Below are 25,046 nucleotides of genomic sequence, written 5' to 3'. Positions count from 1 at the left end.
CCCTTAGTAACTCAGTAATTTTTTCATGATGACCCTAGACCAAAAGGAATATCTAATAGTTTCTTTTGTTAGTTTTAGGTCCAAAGCAGTTTAGAAAGTATTTTTGTCTTAATGATTTAGTAGGTTGCTTGAAACAAGGTACACAAATGAATTGAAAGAAAAAAAAATTTATTTCATTAATTTTTTTAAAAAATTAAATTAATTTATTTATTTGAGATGGAGTCTTGCTCTGTCACCCAGGCTGGAGTGCAGTGGCACAATCTCAGCTCACTGCAATCTCCACCTCCTGGGTTCAAGTGATTCTCCTGCCTTAGCCTCCTGAGTAACTGGGATTACAGGTGTGCACCATCACGGCCAGCTAATTTTTATTTTTAGTAGAGATGGGTTTTCACCATGTTGGCCAGACTGGTCTCCAACTCTGGACCTCAAGTGATCCACCCGGCCTCCCTCCCAAAGAGCTGGGATTACAGGTGTGAGCCACCATGCCTGGCCTTATTTCATTTTTAAATAGCCAGTTACTTAATGAGATATGCCTATTGTGTACTGCACCACTTACCAAACCTTGGGATCAGATTGGATACTTGCAATCGTGTTTGCTACATTGATTTTCATGGGATACTTGCTTTTTATGAGAGCAACTGCCAAAACCTAGCTTTGCAAGGATAAGAAGTCACTGAAAGGTATGTAACATGATCTGATGTTAAAACGGAACTATTTTGAGCTGCTAGTATGTTTGGTGTCTGATAGATGTTGTACATTGCTGTGATTCCCTCAAAAGGTTAAAATATCTTGCAGTGCCCTTGTGAATTCTCTATGGTGGCTTAGGGTACCTTGACACACAATTTGGGAACTATAGCCCTAAACTCATAGACACTTACAGAGTCTTATTAGAATCTTCTCTTTTCTAGTTTACCTTTCTATATATGCTCTTCCTCTTTTTCATTCTCATTTTTAAAAAGAGTTAATAAAAAGTAATAATGACACACTAGACTTTTTCCAGAGTAATGGTTCATTAATACAATATATCCTCTTTGGCAATTAAGAAAGTATACATTTATGCTTTAATGAACATGTGAGTATATATCAGATATAAAGTATTCAGATAAAATATAGTCAACAGTGGCCTCAGTTACATACTTAAGCCTCTGTCTGCTTCATTTTTCTAGAGTTTAAAGGAAACTGTCATACCTAAAATAAGGACTTTTATGCTAACTGCAGAATTTATGCTAACCGTACATTTATTATCAGAGCTTGATACTCAATCTCTTCTCACTAAAGGTGAGAATGGCCCTAATTTTCTATACTTTCATATTTTACTAATTGACTCCAGGTAGGAGGAAGGCAGTTTTGAGTTAGGGAGCTGGCTGGAAATGTTCTTCAGTTTGTTTCCCCTCAGTCTGTTCCAGAATTAACAGCACAGCGGAAAGAAGAGGCTGGAGGTAGAGCTCTGAATGCCCATGGAAAGATACTGCCCTCTGTCTAGATGGAAATGGGAGAATGTAACTATCAAAAGGGCCTAATCAGGTCAGGAAGACAAAGCAGAAAGAAGTAAAAATGAGGTGGAGGGACAGTAGAAAAGAGAAAGAAGGAAAAGCAGTAGTAGGGTGCAGTAATGTCCCCTTATCTGCATGGAATATGTTTCAGGACCGCCCCCGCCCCCGCCCAAACAGAGGATACGTATAGTTCAAACCACATATAGTTCCAGACCCTCTATATACCATACTATGCCTTTTCCTATACATAAATAACTATAATAAAGCTTAATTTATAAATGAGGCACATTAAGAGATGAAAAACAATGACATAATAAAACAGAACAGTAGAAAAATACACTCACATTCACATGTTATGTGAATGTGATCTGTCTCTCTAAATATCTTATTGTAATATACTCACTTATTTTTGGGCCACAATTGACCATAGTAACTGAAACTGGAAAGCAAAACTGCAGATAAAGGGGGACTAATATACTCAGATTGGTACAGTTTGCTTAGAATTTTGGTAAAGCCCCCAAAATTAAAACTCAAGTTTGACAAAGTGTGAGGTAGAGAATCAATTTACCTAAAGATATATTTGGGAGAAGTTATTGTATGTAGTTATAATTTAGATCCACCTACCTTGTCCACTCAAAATCCTCTGCATTGAAGATATTTTTAAGTAGTAAATTTATCACTATATCTCTGCAGTGAACATAAAGGATAAGCAATGCCCCTAGTATAGCTTTTGTTCGAGAGTTACTAGTATCCAGCACTACCAGGTCTGCAACCTCTTCTAGATGACACATCAGACCAGCGTGGACTTTTTCCAATTTTTCTCTTGAATAAGAACTCACAAAACTTTTAACACAATCATTATAAAACATGATCTGGCTCTGAAAAAGTAAGATAATGTTATATATATATCTCTCTCTATATATATATAATTGAAGCATAAATTTTATTCAAATTAAAATGGATGTTTTCATAAAGTTTATGTGGTGTGTATGTAAGTGTTTGTGTAAGAGACCTTACACATTTGTGTGTATTTGAGGGCTAAAGATTGAATTCTGATTGATGCTTATGGGGGCCTTATCCATTTGTACTTCCTAAGTCTTATATTCTTAAATCTTCCTAACTCTTACACCAGCAACCTTAAGTAATAACCTGGGGACAGTAAAAATGGTGGAAAACTCCAAGATGATATATTAGTGCTGCTTTCTCTGCTGGACTCAGAAGTAATATACCTAGAACACAGTGAGTATGTAGTCATAGTTTTCAGAAAGTTTACAGACTTCTGTTATTTGGCCCATCTTTTGACACCCACTCTTGTCATACATAACGGAGATGTTTTAAGAAGTCTACTGGATTAAGGTCAGATTGACTCTGGAAGTTAAAAGAGGGGGATACATCAGGACAGCTTATAGGTTTCTGGGCTTTACATTGGGTAAATTGTGATTCCAGTAACTCACTAAGATAGTACCTATTGCAGGAAAAGCATGCCGTGGGCAAGGGGGCACAGTGAATTCATTCAGGGATATATTAAATTTGAAGTGCTCAAGAAACATAAGAGCTATCAAGATATGAATGTGGGAATAATTAGCATAAAGTTAACAGACAGAGTGAGATTTTTCCAGATCGAGATAGGAGCATACAGGATGAGAAACTTGTTATATCAACAGCATTCTTGGTTACATGCAACAGAAATGAACTGGCTTTCCTAAAGGATGTTGCAAGCTCATGATGAGCAGATCAAAAGGATGCTAGAGACTGAGGGTTAGAAAGTGGGCAGGACCAAGAGTCTGGGAAGACAAGAGGAATCACAGTCAAGGCCATGTCACGGCAGAGTCTGGTCAGATGCCAGTACTGCTGCCCTTGAGACATTTATTCAAGATTTGCAGCCTCAGGAGAGAACATCCAACAGGTGGAGACCCCTCCCTAGGCTGCATCAGTGTAGGGTAAAGGAGGACTTGGTTCTGGCGAGAGAGATTGTGAACCAGTTTTTAATTACTGTTTGTTATTTATTTATAAAGGAATTTTTAATTACTATATCTTTATTAATTCCATGTTCAAATTCCTTCAGTGGCCAATGCATGCGGACATCTAATTATCTGCATTCTCCCATGTGTCTTTTTACTTCCATTCAGAGACAACTCCTAGTCATGTGACATACGTAGAAGTGCAAGAGAAAGGGGAGTTGTAAACTGCATCAATGGAAAATGAGCAGTAGGTAAGGCAGATGTGTGAAAAACTTTGGCAAAAGAACATTCAATGATTGAAGCTGAAGTCTATCATAAAGTATTTCTAGAAACAGAATACAGGCTGCTTATCATTAAGCATGTTTGGAAGACCAGGGATCCAGGAAACATCTTATCTTAGGAGAGCAGATTTGATTATTTGAATTCCTGTTAAACTACAGAAGTGTGCAGATTGATTCATTATAATTTTGTCACCTTTGTAAAGAACAGTTTGGGTAAGTTCCTCAGCTTAAGATCTGTGGATATTTTCAATATTCAGTCAAGTGGAGAACAAAAGGGACAAAGAAGATTTGATAATAATAACTTGTGTCCACAATCCAAGGTTATTTTAACAAAGACTTGAAAATTGTGAGTCAAGGCAAAGTAAAAGGATATGATGTTAATTTTAAATTGAATAGAGAACTACAAGTCAAGTATGCTTTAAAAATACTTGATTATGGAGGGTTAAGATGACCGATTAGAAGCAGCTGCAGTCCACGACACTCACGGAGAGGAATTAAAAGGGGCAAGTGAATTCAACACCTTTAACTGAAATATCCAGGTTCTCGCATCGGGAATGAATAGGCAAGCAGCTCGGATTCAAGGAGAGTGAGGAGAAGCAGTGGGGTTGGGGAGGGGGGACAACAGCTTAGCGGGGAATAGCATGGAGCCAAAGGAACCCCCACCCCCAGCCAGGGGAGGCGGTGAGTGACTGTGCAACCCCACCCGGGAAACCATGCTTTTCCCACGAATCTTTGCAACCTGTGGAGCAGGAGATCCCCTTGTAAGCCCATGCCACCAGGGCTGTGGGTCCAGTACACAGAGCTGTGTGGAGTCTGCAAAAGAGCCACTCAGGTGCACACAGTGACCCAGGAGTTTTGCATGCTCCAGCCCCAGGTTCCCCACCAAGGTGGAAAATCTGCCCATACATATCCATAGGAAGGGGGCTGACTATAGGGAGCCAAGCAGCGTCCTTCTGTAGGCCTCACTTCCATGGCACCTCACAGGTTAAGACCCACTGGCTTGGAATCCCAGTCAGCCAATGGCAGAGGGCTGAAGTCCACCAGGGATAGGACTGAGATCCAATGGGGAGAGTGGCTGCAATCTCTGCGGTTTGGGGGAAACGGCTGTTGCAGCTGGCAGGCTGTGAAGAGTGCAGATGGTCCAGACAAGGAGGGGCCCCCCACAGTGCAATGCTGTGGCCTTGCCAGATTGGGGCCAGGCTGCTTCTTTAACCAGGGCCCTGACATACTACTTCTCACTGGGCAGGTCCTTGGTTCCACAGAGCTCTGATCTCTCCCTAGCAGAGAACTCCCAGGGGGAGGGGCAGCTGCCATATCCACAGTTCCCTAGTCTCAGCTGTGGAGATGAAGAGGGGCCCTCCCACAGTGCAGTACAGCTGCCTTGCCAGATCATGGCCAGACTGCTTCTTTAACTGGGGCCCGACTCACTCCTCCTCACTAGGGGGGTCTCCAGTTCTGTGGACAGAGATCTCTTCCCGGGAGGGAGATCCCCGGGTGAGGGGCAGCGCTATCTCTGAGGTTCTGTAAACTCAGCCATTCTACCTGGCTGGCTGTGGAAAATACAGGCGGTCTACAAAGAAGGGTCACCCCCTAGTGAAACACGCCTGCTCTACCAAGAAGCAACCAGACTGCTTCATTGGGTGGGTTCCTGATCCTCTTTCTCCTGACTGGGTGACATCTTCCACTGGGGGGCCCTAGCCTCCACAGCAGCCCTATGGTAGAGTGGCCTGTTAAAAGAAAGACAAACAGAGGCTAGGCAGTGGTTCATGCCTGTAATCCCAGCACTCTGGGAGGCTGAGGTGGGTGGATCACCTGAGGTCAGGAGTTCAAGACCAGCCTGGCCAACATGGTGAAATGCTGTCTCTACTAAAAATACAAAAATTAGCCGGGTGTAGTGGTGCATGCCCGTAATCTCAGCTACTCAGGAGGCTGAGGCAGGAGAATGACTAGCACCTGGGAGATGGAGTTTGCAGTGAGCTGAGATTGCACCACTGCACTCAAGCCTGGGTGTCAGAGCAAGACTCTATCTTAAAACAAAACAAAACAAAACAGAAAACAACAACAACATCAACAAAAAAAGACCCCACAAAAACCCCACTCAAAGGTCAGCAACCTCAAAGATCAAAGGTAGATAAGCCCACAAAGATGAGAAGGAATAAATGCAAAAACACTGAAAACTCAAAAAGCCAGTGTGCTTCTCCTCTTCCAATTGATTTCAACACAACTGGGCTGAGGCTGAGATACATGAATTGGCAGAAATAAGGCTTCAGAAGGTGGGTAATAACTAACTTTACTGAGTTAAATGAGCATGTGCTAACCCAATATAAAGAAGCTAAGAATCATAACAACACAATGCAGGAGCTGATAGCCAGAACAGCCAATTTAGAGAGGAACATAACTGACCTAATGGAGCTGAAAAACACAAGAGAAATTCACAATGCAATCACAAGTATCAATAGCAGAATAGACCAAGTGGAGGAAAGAATCTCAGAGCTTGAAGACTATCTTTCTGAAATAAGAGAGGTAGAAAATAATAATGAAAAAAGAATGATAAGGAATGAACAAAACCTCTGAGAATTATGGGATTATGGAAAGAGAACGAACCTACGACTGACTGGGGTACCTGAAACAGATGGGAAGAATGGAACCAAGTTGGAAAACGTACTTCAGCATATCATCCAGGAGAACTTCCCCAACCTAGCAAGACAGGCCAACATTCAAATTCAGAAACTGCAGAGAACCCCAGTAAGATACTCCATGAGAACATCAACTCTGAGACACATAATCATGAGATTCTCCATGGTCAAAATGAAAGAAAAAATTAAGGCAACCAGAGAGAAAAGCTAGGTCACCTACAAGGGAAAACCCATCAGACTAATAGTGGACCTCTCATTGGAAACCCTGAAAGCCAGAAGAGATTGGGGGCCAATATTCAACTTCTTAAAGAAAAGAATTTCCAGTCCAGAATTTCATATCCGGCCAAACTAAGCTTCATAAGCAAAGGTGAAAGAAGATCCTTTTCAGAAAAGCAAATGCTCAGGGAATTCATCGTCACCAGGTCCGCCTTGCAAGAGCTCCTGAAAGAAGCACTAAATATTGAAAGAAAAAACGATTATCAGCTGCTACAAAACACACTGATGTACACAGACTAGTGACACTATGAAGCAACCACACAAACAAGTCTGCAAAATAACTAGCTAGCATCATGATGTCAGGATACAATTTACACATAACAATACTAACCTTAAATGTAAATAGGCTAAATGCCCCCAATTAAAAGACACAGAATGACAAGCTGGATAAAGAGTCAAGCCTCATCAGTATACTGTCCTCAAGAGCCCCATCTCACGTGCAAAGACACACATAGGCTCAAAATAAAGGGATAAGGGAAAATTTACCAAGCAAATGGAAAACAGAAAAAAGCAGGAGTAGCAACCCTAGTTTCTAAAAAGCAGACTTTAAACCAACAAAGATAAAAAAAGACAAAGAAGGGCATTACATAATGGTGAGGGGTTCAATTCAACAAGTGATAACTACCCTAAATATATATGCACCCAAAACAGGAGGACCCAGCTTCAGAAAGCAAGTTCTTAGAGACCTACAAAGAGATTTAGTCTCCCACACAATAATAGTGGGAGACTTTAACATCCCTCTGACAATATTAGACAGATCACTGAGACAGAAAATAAACAAAGATATTTAGAACCTGAACTTGACTAAATGGACCTAATAGACATATATAGAACTCTTTACCCCAAAACAGCAGAATATAGACTCTTCTCATAGCCACACAACACTTACTTTAAAATTGGTCACATAATAGGATCACATAATAGAAAGTGATCACACTCCTCTGCAAATGCAGAAGACCTGAAATCATAATGGTCTCTCAGACCACAGTACAATCAAATTAGAACTCAAGATTAAGAAATCCACTCAAAACCATACAACTACATAGAAATTGAACAACCTGCTCCTGAATGACTCTTGGGTAAATAATAAAATAAAGGCAAAAATTAAGAAGTTCTTTCAAACTCATGAGAACAAAGAGACAACATACCAGAATCTCTGGGACACAGCTAAAGCAGTGTTAAGAGGGAAATTTACAGCACTAAATGCCCACATCAGAAAGCTAGAGAGACCTCAAGTTAACAACCTAACATCTCAACTAAAAGGACTAGAGAACCAAGAGCAAACAAACCCCAAAGCTAGCAGAAGAGAAGAAATAACCAAGATCAGAGTTGAAGGAGATAGAGACATGGGAAACCCTTTAAAAAATTAGCAAATCCAGGAGCTGTTAAAAAAAAATAGATACACCATTTGCTAGGCTAATAAAGATGAAAAGACAGAAGAATCAAATAAACACAATAAGAAATGATAAGGGGGATATCATCACTGACCCCACAGAAATACAAACAAGAAATAGACAATTTCCTGGACAAATACACCGTCCCAAGACTGAACCAGGAAAAAATCAAATCCCTGAATAGACCAATAATGAGTTGTGAAATTGAAGCAGTAATAAATAGGCTACCAACCAAAAAAATCCCAAGACCAGATGGATTCACATCTGAATACTATCAGAGGTACAAAGAGAAGCTGGTACTATTTCTACTGAAACCATTCCAAAAAATTGAAGAGGAAGGACTCTTTCCTAACTCATTCTATGAGGCCAGCATCATCCTGATACCAAAACCTGGCAGAGATACAACAAAAAAAGAAAACTTCAGGTCAATATCCCTGAAGAACACTGATGCAAAAATCCTCAATAAAATACTGGCAAACCAAATCCAGCAGCACATCAAAAACCTTATTCACCACAAACAAGTTGGCTTTATACCCAGAATGCAAGGTTGGTTCAACATATGCAAATCAATAAATGTCATTCATCACATAAAGAGAACTAAAGACAAAAACCACGTTATCTCAATAGATACAGAAAAGGCCTTTGCAAAAATTCAACATCTCTTCATGTTAAAAACTCTCAATAAATTAGGTATTAGAGGAACATTCCTCAAAATAATAAGAGTTATATATGACAAAGCCACAGCCAATATCATACTAAATGGGAAAAAGCTGGAAGCATTCCCTTTGAAAACTGGCATAAAACAAGGATGCCCTCTCTCACCACTCCTATTCAACATAGTATTCGAAGTTCCAGCCAGGGCAATCAGGCAAGAAGAAGAAATAAAGGGTATTCAAATAGGAAGAAAGGAGGTCAAATTATCTTTATTTGCACATGGCATGATCCTCTATCTAGAAAACCCCATCATCTTAGCCCAAAAGCTTCTTAAGCTGATAAGCAACTTCAGCAAAGTCTCAGGATATAAAATCAATGTGCCCAAATTGCTAGCATTCCTATATATACCACCAAGCAAGCAGAGAGCCAAATCATGAATGAACTCTCATTCACAATTGCTACAAAAAGAATAAAATACCTAGGAATTACAGCTAACAAGGGAAATGAAGGACCTCTTCAAGGAGAACTACAAACCACTGCTCAGGGAAATCAGAGAGGATACAAACAAATGGAGAAACATTCCATGCTCATGGATAGGAAGAATCAGTATCATAAAAACGGCCATACTGCCCAAAGTAATTTATAGATTCAATGCTATTCCCATTAAACTACCACTGACATTCTCCATAGAATTAGAAAAACTACTTTAAAATTCATATGGAACCAAAAAAGAGCCCAAATAGCCAAGTCAATACTAAGCAAAAAGAACGAATCTGGAGGCATCACACTACTTGACTTCAAACTATACTACAAGGCTACAGTGACCAAAACAGCATGGTGCTGGTACAAAAACAGACACATAGACCAATGTAACAGAACAGAGAACCCAGAAATAGAACCTCACACCTACAGCCATTTGATTTTCCACAAACATGATCAAAACAAGCAACGGGGAAAGGATTTCCTATTTAAGAAATGGTGCTGGGAGAATGGCTAGCCATATCTAGAAAAGTGAAAGTGGAACCCTTCCTTACACCATATACGAAAATTAACTCAAGATGGAATAAAGGCTTAAATCTAAAAACCAAAACTATAAAAACCCTAGAAGAAAATCTAGGCAATACCAGTCAGGATATAGGCATGGGCAAAGACTTCATGAAAAAAATTCCAAAAGCAATTGCAACAAAAGCAAAAATTGACAAATGAGATCTAACTGAACTAAAGAGCTTCTGCACAGCACAGCAAAAGAAACTATCATCAGAGTGAACAAACAACCTACAGAATGGGAGAAAATTTTTGCAATCTCTCCATCTGACAAAGGGCTAATACCCAGAATTTACAAGGAACTTAAACACATTTACAAGAGAAAAAAAACTCCATTAAAAAGTGGGCAAAGGACATGAACAGATACTTCTCAAAAAAAAGACATACATGCGCCCAACAAACATTTGAAAAAAACCTCAACATTACTAATTGTTAGAGAAATGCAAATCAAAACTACAATGAGATACCATCTCACGCTAATCAGAATGGCTATTGTTAAAAAGTCAAAAAATAGATGCTGGTGAGGTTGTGGAGAAAAGGGAACATTTATATGCTGCTACACTGCTGGTGGGAGTGTAAATCAGTTTAACATCATGGAAGATAGTGTGGCGATTCCTCAAAGACCTAGAGGCAGAAATACCATTTGATCCAGCAATCCCATTACTGGGTACGTACTCAAAAAATATAAATCATTCTATTATAAAGATACATGCACACATGTATGTTCATTGAAGCACTATTCACAATAGCAAAGACATGGAATCAACAAAAATGCTCATCAATAATAGAGTGGATAAAGAAAATGTGGTACATATACATCATGGAATACTACAAAGCCATAAAAAGAATGAGATCATGTCCTTTGCAGGGACATGGATGGATCTGGGAGTCGTTATCCTCAGCAAACTAATGCAGGAACAGAAAACCAAACACCATATTTTCTCACTTATAAATGGGAGCTGAATGATGAGAACACACAGACACATGGGGTGGGGGGTGGCAGGAACAACACACATTGGGGCCTGTTGTGGGGGCAGAGGGAGGGAAAGCATCAGGAAGAACAGCTAATGGGTGCTGGGCTTAATACCTAGGTGACGGGATGATCTGTGCAGCAAACCAGCATGGCACACCTTTACCTATGTAACAAACCTGAACATCCTGCACATGTACCCCTGAACTTAAAATAAAAGTTGATGAAAAAAAAAACAACAACTTGATAATGGTACCTCCTGGCAATATGGCTTCTATCTTCATCACTCCAGAAAACCACTGTTGACAGATATAATATAGTTTACCGATCTCTGTAGAGTCTTTAAAAATGATGACCACTCACTTTTTTAAATGATTACTCAGTTTTTCTGGAGAAAAATCAAAGAAACAAACAAAAACCTACCTTTCTTCCTCTTTAGCTTCTTCCATGGAAACTCTTATAAATTTCTTTTCTGTTTTGGCCACTCTTTTTCAGTCCTTTTCTTTTGCCTATTCCTTAGCTGTTCATGTTTCTTGGAGTCTTTCCTTGTCCCTCTTCTCTTATTCTACACATGCTGTTAGGGGAAATTTTATCACTCCCCTGGCTCCAACCACACTTCTCAAAAGAACTGCCAATTTTTGTTTTATTGACATCACAACTTCCTAGTTTTCCCTCTCTCTTATGAGACCCAGAAAAACAATAATTAGCTCTAGCAAATATGCATGTAGTAGGCAGAATAATGGCTCTCTACAAAGATATTCATTTCCTAATTCCCAGAACCTGTGAATATGTCACCTTAAATGGCAAAAAGGACTTTTCAGATGGAATTGAATTAAGAAAATTGAGCTAGAGAGATTATTCTGGATTATCTGGGTGGGTCAAATGTATCCAGAAAACACATGTAATCATAAAACTGGGTAGCTTTTTCTGCCTGTGAGCAGAGAGAGCTAGGACTACTGAAGAATAGTCAGAAAGATGCACATTGCTGACTTTGAAAATGGAGGAATGGGCTGTGAGCCAAGGAATGCCAATGGCCTCCAGAAGCTGAAAAGGCAAAGAAACAGATTTTCCCCAAGAGCCTCTAGAAAGGAACACAGCTTTGCTGACACCTTGATCTTAGCCCACAGAGACCTGTGGGTTGGCCTTCTAACCTACTGAATTGTAAAATAATAAAGCTGTGTTGTTTTAAGGCACCAAGTTTTTAGTAACTTTTTAATAACAGCAGTAGAAAACTAATGCAATACAATATAGTGACATCTTTAAGAAAATAGTTCTACTTTCATTCAAAATTATAAAGATTTTCAAAACTATAGTGAAGTTGAAGGAATTATACAATGAATACTTATATATTCACCACCTACATTCTACAATTAACTTTTTGCTATATTTGCCATGAATCTATACATCTACCCATCTTATGCATTTCAAAGTAAGCTACAGACACCAGTACCCTTCATAATGATTTATTTTCCAAATCATTTCTTTCTTGGCAATGTAGCCACAAACTAAATACTTATACAGGCATACCTTGTTGTATTGTGCTTCATTTTATTGTACTTCACAGATATTGCATTTTTTCCTTTTTTTATTTTATTTTATTATTATTATTATTATACTTTAAGTTTTAGGGTACATGTGCACAATGTGCAGGTTAGTTACATATGTATACATGTGCCATGCTGGTGTGCTGCACCCATTAACTCGTCATTTAGCATTAGGTATATCTCCTAATGCTATCCCTCCCCCCTCCCCCCACCCCACAACAGTCCCCAGAGTGTGATGCTCCCCTTCCTGTGTCCATGTGTTCTCATTGTTCAATTCCCATCTATGAGTGAGAACAGGCAGTGTTTGGTTTTTTATCCTTGCGATATTTTACTGAGAATGATGATTTCCAATTTTCATCCATGTCCCTACAAAGGGCATGAACTCATCATTTTTTATGCCTGCATAGTATTCCATGGTGTATATGTGCCACATTTTCTTAATTCGGTCTATCATTGTTGGACATTTGGGTTGGTTCCAAGTCTTTGCTATTGTGACTAGTGCCACAATAAACATACGTGTGTATGTGTCTTTATAGCAGCATGATTTATAGTCCTTTGGGTATATACCCAGTAATGGGATGGCTGGGTCAAATGGTATTTCTAGTTCGAGATCTCTGAGGAATTGCCACACTGACTTCCACAATGATTGAACTAGTTTACAGTCCCACCAACAGTGTAAAAGTGTTCCTATTTCTCCACATCCTCTCTAGCACCTGTTGTTTCCTGACTTTTTAATGATTGCCATTCTAACTGGTGTGAGATGGTATCTCATTGTGGTTTTGATTTGCATTTCTTTGATGGTCAGTGATGGTGAGCATTTTTTCATGTGTCTTTTGGCTGCATAAATGTCTTCTTTTGAGAAGTGTCTGTTCATATCCCTTGCCCACTTTTTGATGGGGTTGTTTGTTTTTTTCTTGTAAATTTGTTTGAGTTCATTGTAGATTCTGGATATTAGCCCTTTGTCTGATGAGTAGGTTGCAAAAATTTTCTCCCATTTTGTGGATTGCCTATTCACTCTGATGGTAGTTTCTTTTGCTGTGCAGAAGCTCTTTAGTTTAATTAGATTCCATTTGTCAATTTTGGCTTTGGTTGCCATTGCTTTTGGTGTTTTAGACATGAAGTCCTTGCCCATGCCTATGTCCTGAATGGTAATGCCTAGGTTTTCTTCTAGGGTTTTTATGGTTTTAGGTCTAACGTTTAAGTCTTTAATCCATCTTGAATTAATTTTTGTATAAGGTGTAAGGAAGGGATCCAGTTTCAGCTTTCTACATATGGCTAGCCAGTTTTCCCAGCACCATTTATTAAATAGGGAATCCTTTCCACATTGCTTGTTTTTATCAGGTTTCTCAAAGATCAGATGGTTGTAGATATGCGGCATTATTTCTGAGGGCTCTGTTCTGTTCCATTGATCTATATCTCTGTTTTGGTACCAGTACCATGCTGTTTTGGTTACTGTAGCCTTGTAGTATAGTTTGAAGTCAGGTAGCGTGATGCCTCCAGCTTTGTTCTTTTGGCTTAGGATTGACTTGGTGATGCGGGCTCTTTTTTGGTTCCATAAGAACTTTAAAGTAGTTTTTTCCAATTCTGTGAAGAAAGTCATTGGTAGCTTGATGGGGATGGCATTGAATCTATAAATTACCTTGGGCAGTATGGCCATTTTCATGATATTGATTCTTCCTATCCATGAGCATGGAATGTTCTTCCATTTGTTTGTATCCTCTTTTATTTCATTGAGCAGTGGTTTGTAGTTCTCCTTGAAGAGGTCCTTCACATCCCTTGTAAGTTGGATTCCTAGGTATTCTATTCTCTTTGAAGCAATTGTGAATGGGAGTTCACTCATGATTTGGCTCTCTGTTTGTCTGTTATTGGTGTATAAGAATGCTTGTGATTTTTGTGCATTGATTTTGTATCCTGAGACTTTGCTGAAGTTGCTTATCAGCTTAAGGAGATTTTGGGCTGAGACAATGGGGTTTTCTAGATATACAATCATGTCATCTGCAAACAGGGACAATTTGACTTCTTCTTTTCCTAATTGAATACTCTTTATTTCATTCTCCTGCCTGATTGCCCTGGCCAGAACTTCCAACACTGTGTTGAATAGGAGTGGTGAGAGAGGGCATCCCTGTCTTGTGCCAGTTTTCAAAGGGAATGCTTCCAGGTTTTGCCCATTCAGTACGATATTGGCTGTGGGTTTGTCATAGATAGCTCTTATTATTTTGAGATACGTCCCATCAATACCTAATTTATTGAGAGTTTTTAGCATGAAGTGTTGTTGAATTTTGTCAAAGGCCTTTTCTGCATCTATTGAGATAATCATGTGGTTTTTGTCTTTGGTTCTGTTTATATGCTGGATTACATTTATTGATTTGCGTATATTGAACCAGCCTTGCATCCCAGGCATGAAGCCCACTTGATCATGGTGGAGAAGCTTTTTGATGTGCTGCTGGATTCGGTTTGCCAGTATTTTATTGAGGATTTTTGCATCGATGTTCATCAAGGATATTGGTCTAAAATTCTCTTTTTTGGTTGTGTCTCTGCCCAGCTTTGGTATCAGGATGATGCTGGCCTCATAAAATGAGTTAGGGAGGATTCCTTCTTTTTGTATTGATTGGAATAGTTTCAGAAGGAATGCAGGCCAACATTCAGATTCAGGAAACACAGAGAACACCACAAAGATACTCCTCAAGAAAAGCAACTCCAAGACACAATTGTCAGATTCACCAAAGTTGAAATGAAGGAAAAAATGTTAAGGACAGCCAGAGAGAACGGTCGGGTTACCCACAAAGGGAAGCCCATTAGACTAACAGCAGAGTTCTCGGCAGAAACTCTGCAAGCCAGAAGAGAGTGGGGGCCAATATTCAACATTCTTAAAGAAAAGAATTTTCAACCTAGAATTTCATATCCAGCCAAACTAAGTTTCATAAGTGAAAGAGAAATAAAATCCTTTACAGACAAGCAAATGCTGAGAGATTTTGTCACCACCAGGCCTGCCCTAAAAGAGCTCCTGAAGGAAGCACTAAACATGGAAAGGAACAACTGTTACCAGCCGCTGCAAAATCATGCCAAAATGTAAAGATCATCGAGACTAGGAAGAAACTGCATCAACTAATGAGCAAAATAACCAGCTAACATCATAATGACAGGATCAAAGTCACACATAACAATATTAACTTTAAATGTAAATGGACTAAACGCTCCCATTAAAAGACACAGACTGGCAAATTGGATAAAGAGTCAAGAACCATCAGTGTGCTGTATTCAGGAAACCCATCTCACGTGCAGAGACACACATAGGCTCAAAATAAAAGGATGGAGGAAGATATACCAAGCAAATGGAAAAGAAAAAAAGGCAGGGGTTGCAATCTTAGTCTCTGATAAAACAGAATTTAAACCAACAAAGATCAAAGGAGACAAAGAAGGCCATTACATAATGGTAAAGGGATCAATTCAACAAGAAGAGCTAACTATCCTAAATATATATGCACCCAATACAGGAGCACCCAGATTCATAAAGCAAGTCCTGAGTGACCTACAAAGAGACTTAGACTCCCACACAATAATAATGGGAGACTTTAACACCCCACTGTCAACATTAGACAGATCAACGAGACAGAAAGTTAACAAGGATATCCAGGAATTGAACTCAGCTCTGCACCAAGTGGACCTAATAGACATCTACAGAACTCTCCACCCCAAATCAACAGAATATACATTCTTCTCAGCACCACACTGCACTTATTCCAAAATTGACCACATAGTTGGAAGTAAAGCTCTCCTCAGCAAATGTAAAAGAACAGAAATTATAACAAACTGTCTCTCAGACCACAGTGCAATCAAACTAGAACTCAGGATTAAGAAACTCACTCAAAACCGCTCAACTACATGGAAACTGAACAACCTGCTCCTGAATGACTACTGGGTACATAACGAAATGAAGGCAGAAATAAAGATGTTCTTTGAAACCAACGAGAACTAAGACACAACATACCAGAATCTCTGGGACACATTCAAAGCAGTGTGTAGAGGGAAATTTATAGCATTAAATGCCCACAAGAGAAAGCAGGAAAGATCCAAAATTGACACCCTAACATCACAATTAAAAGAACTAGAAAAGCAAGAGCAAACACATTCAAAAGCTTGCAGAAGGGAAGAAATACCTAAAATCAGAGCAGAACTGTAGTAAAGAGAGACATAAAAAACCCTTCAAAAAATTAATGAATCCAGGAGCTGGTTTTTTGAAAGGATCAACAAAATTGATAGACCGCTAGCAAGACTAATAAAGAAAAAAAGAGAGAAGAATCAAATAGAAGCAATAAAAAATGATAAAGGGGATATCACCACCAATCCCACAGAAATACAAACTACCATCAGAGAATACTACAAACAGCTCTATGCAAATAAACTAGAAAATCTAGAAGAAATGGATAAATTCCTCGACACATACACTCTTCCAAGACTAAACCAGGAAGAAGTTGAATCTCTAAATAGACCAAGAACAGGATCTGAAATTGTGGCAATAATCAACAGCTTCCAACCAAAAGGAGTCCAGGACCAGATGGATTCACAGCCGAATTCTACCAGAGGTACAAGGAGGAACTGCATTTTTTTCAAATTGAAGATTTGTGGTAACCCTGCATTGAGCAAGTCTATCAGTGTCATTTTTTCCAATAGTATGTGTTCACTCCATGTCTCTGCGTCACATTTTGGTAATTCTCAGAATATTTCCAACCTTTTCATTATTATATCTGTTATGGTGATCTGCAATTAATGATCTTGGATGTTACTATTGTAATTGTTTGGGAGGACAACAAATGATGCCCATGTAAGACAGCAAACTTAATTGATAAATGCTGTTTGTGTCTTATCTTCTTCACCAAATAGTCATTCCCCCATCTCTCTCCTTCTTCTTCGGTCTCCCTAATCCCTGAGACACAATAATGTTGAATTTAGGCCAACCAATAACCTTACAATGGTCTCTAAGTGTTCAAGTAAAAAGAACTGTTGCACATCCTTCTCTTAAAATTAAAAGCTAGAGATGATTAAGCTTAATAAGGAAGGCATGCCAAAAGCCAAAACAGGCTGAAAGCTAGGCCTCTTCTGCCAAACAGTCAAGTTGTGGATGCAAAGGAAAAAAATTCTTGAAGAAAATTAAAAGTGCTACTCCTGTGAACACACTAATGGTAAGAAAGCAAAACAGCCTTACTGCTGTTTTGGAGAAAATTTTAGTGGTCTGGATAGAAGATCAAACCAGCCATAACATTTCCTTAAGAAAAAGACTAATCCAGAGCAAGGCTCTAACTCTTTTCAATTCTGTGAAGACTGAGAGAGATAAGGAATGCTGCAGAAGAAAAGTTGAAAGCTAGCAGAAGTTGGCTCATGAGATTTAAGGAAAGAAGCTGTCTCAGTAATGTAAAAGTGCAAAGGTAAGTAGCAAGTGCTGATGTGGAAGCTGCAGTAAGTTATCCAGAAGAACTAGGTTAACATAATTGATGAAAGTGGATACACTGAACAACAGATTTTCAAGGTAGATGAGATAGCCTTCTATTGGAAGAAGAGGCCATCCAAGACTTTTGTAGTTGGAGAGAAGTCAATACCTGGCTTCAAAGCTTCAAATGACAGGCTGATTCTCTTGTTAGAGGCTAATGCAACCTGTGACTCTAAATTGAAGCCAATGCTCACTTACCGTTTTGAAAATCCTAGGACCCTTAAGAATTATGTATGCTTAATCTACTCTGCCCCTGCTCTACAAATGGAACAACAAGGCCTGGATGACAGCACATCTGTTTTCAGCATGGTTTACTGAATATTTTAAGCCCACTGTTGGGACCTACTGTTAAGAAAAAAAGATTCCTTTCAAAATATTACTGCTCACTAACAACACATCCAGTCACCCAAGAGTTCTGATGGAGATGTACAAGGAGATTAATGTTGTTTTCATGCCTGATAACAAAACATCCATTCTGTAGCCCATGGGTCAATGAGTACTTTTGACTTTCAAGGCTTATTATTTAAGAAATACATTTCATAAGGCTATAGCTTCCATAGATAGTGATTCCTCTGATGGATCTAGGCAAAGTAAATAGAAAACCTTCTGGAAAGGATTCACCATCCTAGATGCCATTAAGAATATTCATATTCATGGAAGAAGGTCAAAATAGCCACATTAATGGGACTTTGAAAGAAGTTGATTTCAACTCTCATGGACGACTTTAAGGGGTTCAAGACTTCAGTGGAAGTAACTGTAGATGTGGTGGAAATAGCAAGAGAACTAGAATTAAAAGTGGAGCCTGAAGATGTGACGGAATTTGCTGCAATCTCATGAAAAAACTTGAATGGAAGACAAGTTGCCTCTTATGGATGAGCAAAGAAAGTTGTTTCTTGAGATGGAATCTACTCCTGATGAAGTTGCTGTGAACATTATTGAAATGACAAAAAAGGATTTAGTATATTACATAAACTTAGTTGATAAAGCAGCGGCAGAGTTTGAGAGAATTGACTCCAATTTTGAAAGAATTTCCATTGTGGGCAAAGTGCTAGCAGAAAGCATCGCACGCTACAAAGAAATCTTTTGGGAAAGGAAGAGTCAAGCCATGTGGCAAACTTCATTGTTATCTAATTTTAAGAAATTGCCACAGCCATCCTAACCTTCAGCAACCACCACCCTGATCGGTCAGCAACCATCAAAATCTAGGAAATACCCTCCACCAGCAACAATATTATGACTTGCTGAAGGCTCAGATGATTGTTAGCATTTTTTAGTAATAAAGTATTTTTAATTAAGGCATGCACATTTTTTAGACAGAACTCTATTGTACAGTTAACAGACTACAGGAGGCCAGGCATGGTGGCTCACTCCTGTAATCCTAGCACTTTGGGAGGCTGAGGTGGGCAGATCACCTGAGGTCAGGAGTTCAAGACCAGCCTGGCCAACATTACAAAACCCCATCTCTACTAAAAATACAAAAATTAGCCAGGCATGGTGGTGCACACCTGTAGACCCAGCTACTCAGGAGGCTGAGGCAGCAGAATCACTTGAACCTGGGAGGCGGAGGCTGCAGTGAGCTGAGATTGTACCACTGCACTCCAGCCTGGGTGACAGAAAAAAAAAAGACTACAGGATAGTGTAAACATAACTGTTATAGGCCCTAGGGGAAAAAAAATCATGTGACTCACTTTATTGGAATATCCTCTTTATTACAGTGGTCTGAAATTGAACCTGCAATATCTCCAAGGTGTCCCTGTATACATACATCAAAGCAGCATTAACTTACCACAGTAAGTACCACTTGTCCTGGATGAGATAACACCCATTGGGAAAACATCTGGCAGTTCCAGTCTTCAATCCCTTGACTTAAAAATCTACAAATTAAAAAATTTATTTATGTTATTTATACTTAATCATTGATTGTGGCCATTTAATGACCAAGCATGACGAGGTCACAGGGGAGTTTTCCTTTAAGATCTCTGATTTCTTTGTTCTAACGTAGAAATCAGACCAAATAAAGGTAACAGAGCCTTAATCGAAGCATAATGCATACTCCTTAAATTCCTTTTTGAGATTATCTGTACTTTTCTAATAAGGCCATTGAGTTTCTGAGATGGTAAAAATATATAAAAAGAGATGACGCATATTAGCTCTGAATTGCTAATAGTATTTATGACAAAATCTATATTTGAAATAATTTCTACAAAATGGAATACTGGGCTGAAACTACCAGATGAGTAACAGTAAAGCCCTGCATGTAGCTTTTAAAATTAATTATAATGGACAGAATAGGATTCATGAAAAATATCCAGACAATTTTATTTAAGACAACAGTTAATGTGCACCAACAGTATAGGTTTCAATGTTGTCATTTTTTTCCATATGGAGTTTTAAGTTTCCTTATAGTCAAATCGGTCAATGATACATTTTTTTAAATCATTGATACTATATCTCTTAGAAATTCTCAACACTAAATTTCATTTTATTTTCTTCTAATTTGGCTTTCTTTCTTAGGTATCACTCTAAAATTCATTTAGAATGTATTTGAATATTTGAAATGAAGTACTGAACCTTTTAATTTTTGTTGTGCTTGCAAATGGTATCTATTTTTGTTTTTTTATCATTGCTGATGAGGAGAAATATGTCAATAACAACTTTTTATACATTTCAAAGCAGTATCAGTGTGAAATGTCTCTTCCATCAACTACAAATGATTCTTTATTTTATTTAATACCTTTGGAACTTAATTTTATTTTTAAACACTTTTTGTTGGCAGTTCCATGAAAAGTCCTTATGACTTTTATTCATAACTTTTTTGTCACATTGCTATACATCTCTCAAACAACATATAGTTACATTTCTCTTTTGACAAAATCTTTTAATGAAGATCTTACTGCACACTCGCATTGATATACTATAAGTATATGGAATACTTAAAACGTGCTGACCTAGAGGCACAGTAGAGTGTCACAAGTAGTTTGTGACCTCCAGGAGAAATGGGAAGGAACTTCATGCACTAAAAGGCAAGTTACTCACAGACTAGGTCCTTCCACATGCCCTGCTTGTCAGTTGCAACCACGGCATATAGGTTGTTGTAGTTAGAAACTAGTATTTGCTTTTAGAAGAGGGACTCACCAGTATAAATATGAAAAGATAACCAAGAATGACCAGCTATTTTAGAAAAACTAGTACCATCAAAAAGAACACAAGTCCATAGCCCCAAACTAAAATAAAGCGGTACTAACTTTAAAATAAAAGGAGAGGGAAGAAAACTTTAAAATAATTACATCATCAATTCTAAGGCAGAACTTTTTTTCTACATTTTAATCTTTTTGGAATCAGAAAGCATCTTATAATTAATGATGTCTGACAATCACTCAGCCAGGTGAGACCTATGACTTAGGAGTATAAAAATCTTCTATTGATGTTTTCTGGTAAGATAAAGTACTGCCAACGATCTGTTACATTTGATGAATGTACTTGTACATTCTCTTTAGAAAAAAATTATTTAATTATTTATTTATTATTTATTTCTATTTATTTATTTATTTATTTAATTTGAGATGGAGTCTCGCTCTGTCACCCAGGCTGGAGTGCAGTGGCACAATCTCAGCTCACTGCAACCTCCGCCTCCCGGGTTCAAGGGATTCTCCTGCCTCAGCCTCCCAAGTAGCTGGGACTACAGGTGTGCATCACCATGCCTGGCTAAATTTTGTATTTTTAGTAGAGACAGGGTTTCACCATGTTGGCCAGGCTGGTCTCAAACTCCTGATCTCAGGGGATCCACCCACCTCGGCCTCCCAAAAAAGAGGTAAATTCTATCACTTATGACAACATGAATAACCCTGGAGGACATTATGTATGCTAAGTGAAATAAGCCAGGCCAAGAAAGATGAATATTGTATGATCTCATTTATATGGAGAATCTAAAAAACATTCTCTATTCACAGAAGTAGAGAGTAGAATGGTGTTAACCAGAGGGTGAAAGTGGGGAGGGATGAGGAAAGGGGAGAAGTTAGTCTAAGGATACAAAGTTTCAGTTAGACTAGGAATAAATTTTAGCGATCTACTGCACAGCAGGTCACTATAGTTAATAATAATGTATGTTTCGCAATAGCTAAAAGTAAACTTGAAATGTTTTCACCATAAAAAATAAGCATGTGAGGTGATGAGTATTTTAATTAGCTTGAATCAATCATTTTACATTGTGTACATGTATCAAAACATCACAATGTATGCCATAATAGATACAATTATTATTTCTCAATTAAAAATTAAAAATAAATTAAATCTCTTTAAAACTCTGCAAACTATGAATAGGATGAAATATCTTTAGTTGGATAAGGCGTATATTCCAGAAACCTATGCATTATGGTCAAACACTAGAAGCTTTTCCAATAAAATTAAGAACAAAAAAAGGATGCTGTCAGTTGTACTTTTCGATGTTAAATAAAATTTGCATCTAAAATAACATGAAAAAATGGCATTTTAAAAAGAATTGCAAAGGAAGAGATAGGACTATCATTGTTAGCAAATGATATAATTGTCTAACCAGAAAAATCCCAGGACAACAATTGAAAAACTGCTTGTCTTTTTTGCTTAAATGCCCAGATTCATTTTTTCAGGGTTTCTTGCCTACAGAAGTCTCTCTTTACATACAAGGTAACTCTGGTTCTTATCATATCACCCCAGGGGTAAGACTGAAACTGCATTTGCAAAAATTGTAACTTAGGACATTATGACACTGAAAGAGATCAGACGCAACTAACTTCATCTTGCTTCTAACCTTTAAACTGTCCTTTTTCATTCCTGGGTATAGGCTGAACCAACCTTGGGAAGGAATTTAGTTTACAATTTGACTCAAACAAAACCGGCAACAGCCCTTTCCTGAAAAGACTCCTGTCTTGCCTGGGGACCAGTCTGCCTTTGTAGGATTAACAAATTATCTACAAGATTAGAAATTACGGTTTAGGGGTCATGCAGCCTCTTGCTGCAAGTCTGAACCTCCCAAAATTTTTCCTGGGAATAATATCACTATTGTGAAGCCTAAGATCAGTGCTTGAGATATTTTGCTGGCCCTGCACTTGATGGATCAGCTGACACCACCCAGTCTGGTAATCTGGCTCAATCAGTTCTGGGATCCCATCCAGGAACAGAAGACAGCAAGAAAAGCTCACTTTGACCCCCGCTATGATTCCATCTCCAACCTGACCAATCAGTACTCCCCACTTCTGGAGCCCCTACCTGCCAAATTATCCTTAAAAACTCTGATCCCTGAATTCTCCAGGAGACTGAGTTGAGTAATAATAAAACTGGTCTCCTATACAGCTGGCTTGTGTGAATTACTCTTTCTCCACTGCATTTCCCCTGTCTTGATAAATTGGCTCTGTCTAGGCAGCAGGCAAGGTGAACCCACTGGGTGGTTACAAGAATTGAAGAAAAGGAGAGCCAGAATGGTTATTTATGTAAGTAAATCATAATCTTCTCTGCTCTAGAAACCTTGTATTGGCCTTCAGAATAATATTAACAACTATAGATATAAAAACCTAAAAGTCAATAGCCTTTCTATTACCAACAATGAATAATTAGAAATACAATATAACAGTTCTAGTCAAGTTAGTTTTGAAAGTTCACGCTCTGAGGTTTTTTTCTTCATTCTAAACAGATGCAATGATAGACTTAAATATGAAAAGGAGAACGTTAGAAAGAGTAAGCCAAGTAAACAATCCTAGGAAGTAAAAGTAGAACCAAAATGCAAAGTAGTGAGGTGTGCTCAAACGGGAGCCCTACTGAGCAGAGTTCAGATCCTGAACAGTTTTCTGATACAGCTGAATCTCAACGTACACAAAAGCCATCTGAAGGTTGTGCATGTAAACACTCTCAAACTGACAGTTACACTGTAAAAGTGATTATTTTCCATTTAGTCATCATGTGTCATCATGTTCCATTAAAACCCATTTCATAAGAGATTTGACTCCATATTCTTTTCTGGATATTTCTCACTTAGATTAGTAGATAAGTGAGTTTTAAAAAATGTGTGTGTATATATATATGTGCAAGTATATATATAAAATATATAATTTTAGGATTTGAAAATTGTACTTACTTTTTTAGCACATCGAACATGCTTTTTTCTACATTTACCAGCCACTGTTCTACAGCACTTCTTACACGAATTTTCCTAAAATTAGTTTCAAAAATAATATCATGAAGAATTATTTTTTAATTCATGTTTCAGTCCTTTGACAAGCCTGTAGACTAAATTTTCTACATACTTTAATAATATTCATGGGCCAAAGGACTACTACTGCCTTTTGGTTTTTCTAAATCTTAATTTTGAAAACTATGCAGAAAACATATGAACATGCTTTAGGAAATTCTGATATCAAAATCATGAATTTACACAATAAATAAGTTTCATGTAAAATGGTATTTACAAGATAAACAAATTGTGTTATAAAACAGTTTTGGATTCCTCACTGGAATTTTTCTTTTCTTTTTTTTTTTTTTTTTTGAGACAGAGAGAGTCTCGTTCTGTCACCCAGGCTGGAGTGCAATGGTGCCACCTTGGGTCACTGCAACCTCCACCTCCTGGGTTCAAGTGATTCTCCTGTCCCAGCCCCCCAAGTAGCTGGGATTACAGGTGCCTGCCACCACGATCAGCTAATTTTTGTATTTTTAGTAGAGATAGGGTTTCACCATGTTAGTCAGGCTGGTCTCAAACTCCTGACCTTGGGTAATTCACCTGCCTCGGCCTCCCAAAGTGTCGGGATTACAGGCTTGAGCCACTGCACCCGGCCTTCCTCACTGGATCTTTTAAACAGCAGGGTTGGAATAGGGATTTTGGTAGATAAGAAGGGTTGGGCACAGCATTTTTTTAAAAATCAACTTACATCAGGACCACTTGCCAAAGGTTAGAGAGCCCTTGCTGGGGCTGGCAAATTGAACCAGTGTAATGGAAGGACCTAGTTTGTCATTATTGCCTGGGAGCAAACCACAGTGAAACCAGAGATCAGCAGAAGCAGTAGTGGGAGTAGCATCAACAACTCCAAATAGCCAATTTTCTTCTTATCTATATTCATATACTAAAACCAAAAAGGGAAAAAGCACTAAAAAGAGAGTAGGAAACTTAAGGCAGAATTTAATGACAGAACAAAATGTAAGTGCAAATTAGAATGCACCCAGGAGTTTGAAGACTGCTTTCTCAACTTTTAATTAGAGCAAAGGTGAGATTATGTATTGTAGGGAATATGGAAAGGCAAAAGTATATTTACGTAAGGATATAATCTTTGAAGAAACAGTTTGCTT

General features: G+C 38.4%; 1 protein-coding gene across 24 annotated transcripts in view; it reads right to left on the bottom strand.

Moving 5' to 3' along the window:
* Window positions 1–25,046, bottom strand: part of DNAH14 (dynein axonemal heavy chain 14) — a 469,633-nt gene that overhangs the window by 256,148 nt on the left and 188,439 nt on the right. For 22 of the 24 annotated variants that reach the window (XM_011544062.3, XM_011544067.3, XM_017000296.2 and 19 more), the window contains 3 exons: window positions 23,845–23,919; window positions 19,525–19,612; window positions 2,118–2,371 (listed from right to left, as the gene is read on the bottom strand). In XM_011544062.3, coding sequence (XP_011542364.1) covers window positions 2,118–2,371; window positions 19,525–19,612; window positions 23,845–23,919 — 417 coding nt within the window. Of the gene's footprint in view, window positions 1–2,117; window positions 2,372–19,524; window positions 19,613–23,844; window positions 23,920–25,046 lie in introns of those variants that run through there. The other 2 variants (XM_017000295.2, XM_017000299.2) reach the window with 2 other exon arrangements.

Source organism: Homo sapiens, chromosome 1 (genome assembly GCF_000001405.40).
Source record: "Homo sapiens chromosome 1, GRCh38.p14 Primary Assembly".
Classification (NCBI taxonomy): Eukaryota; Metazoa; Chordata; class Mammalia; order Primates; family Hominidae; genus Homo; species Homo sapiens.
The sequence above is the reverse complement of the archived record's forward strand: the minus strand, read 5'-3'. Positions and strand labels throughout refer to the sequence as shown.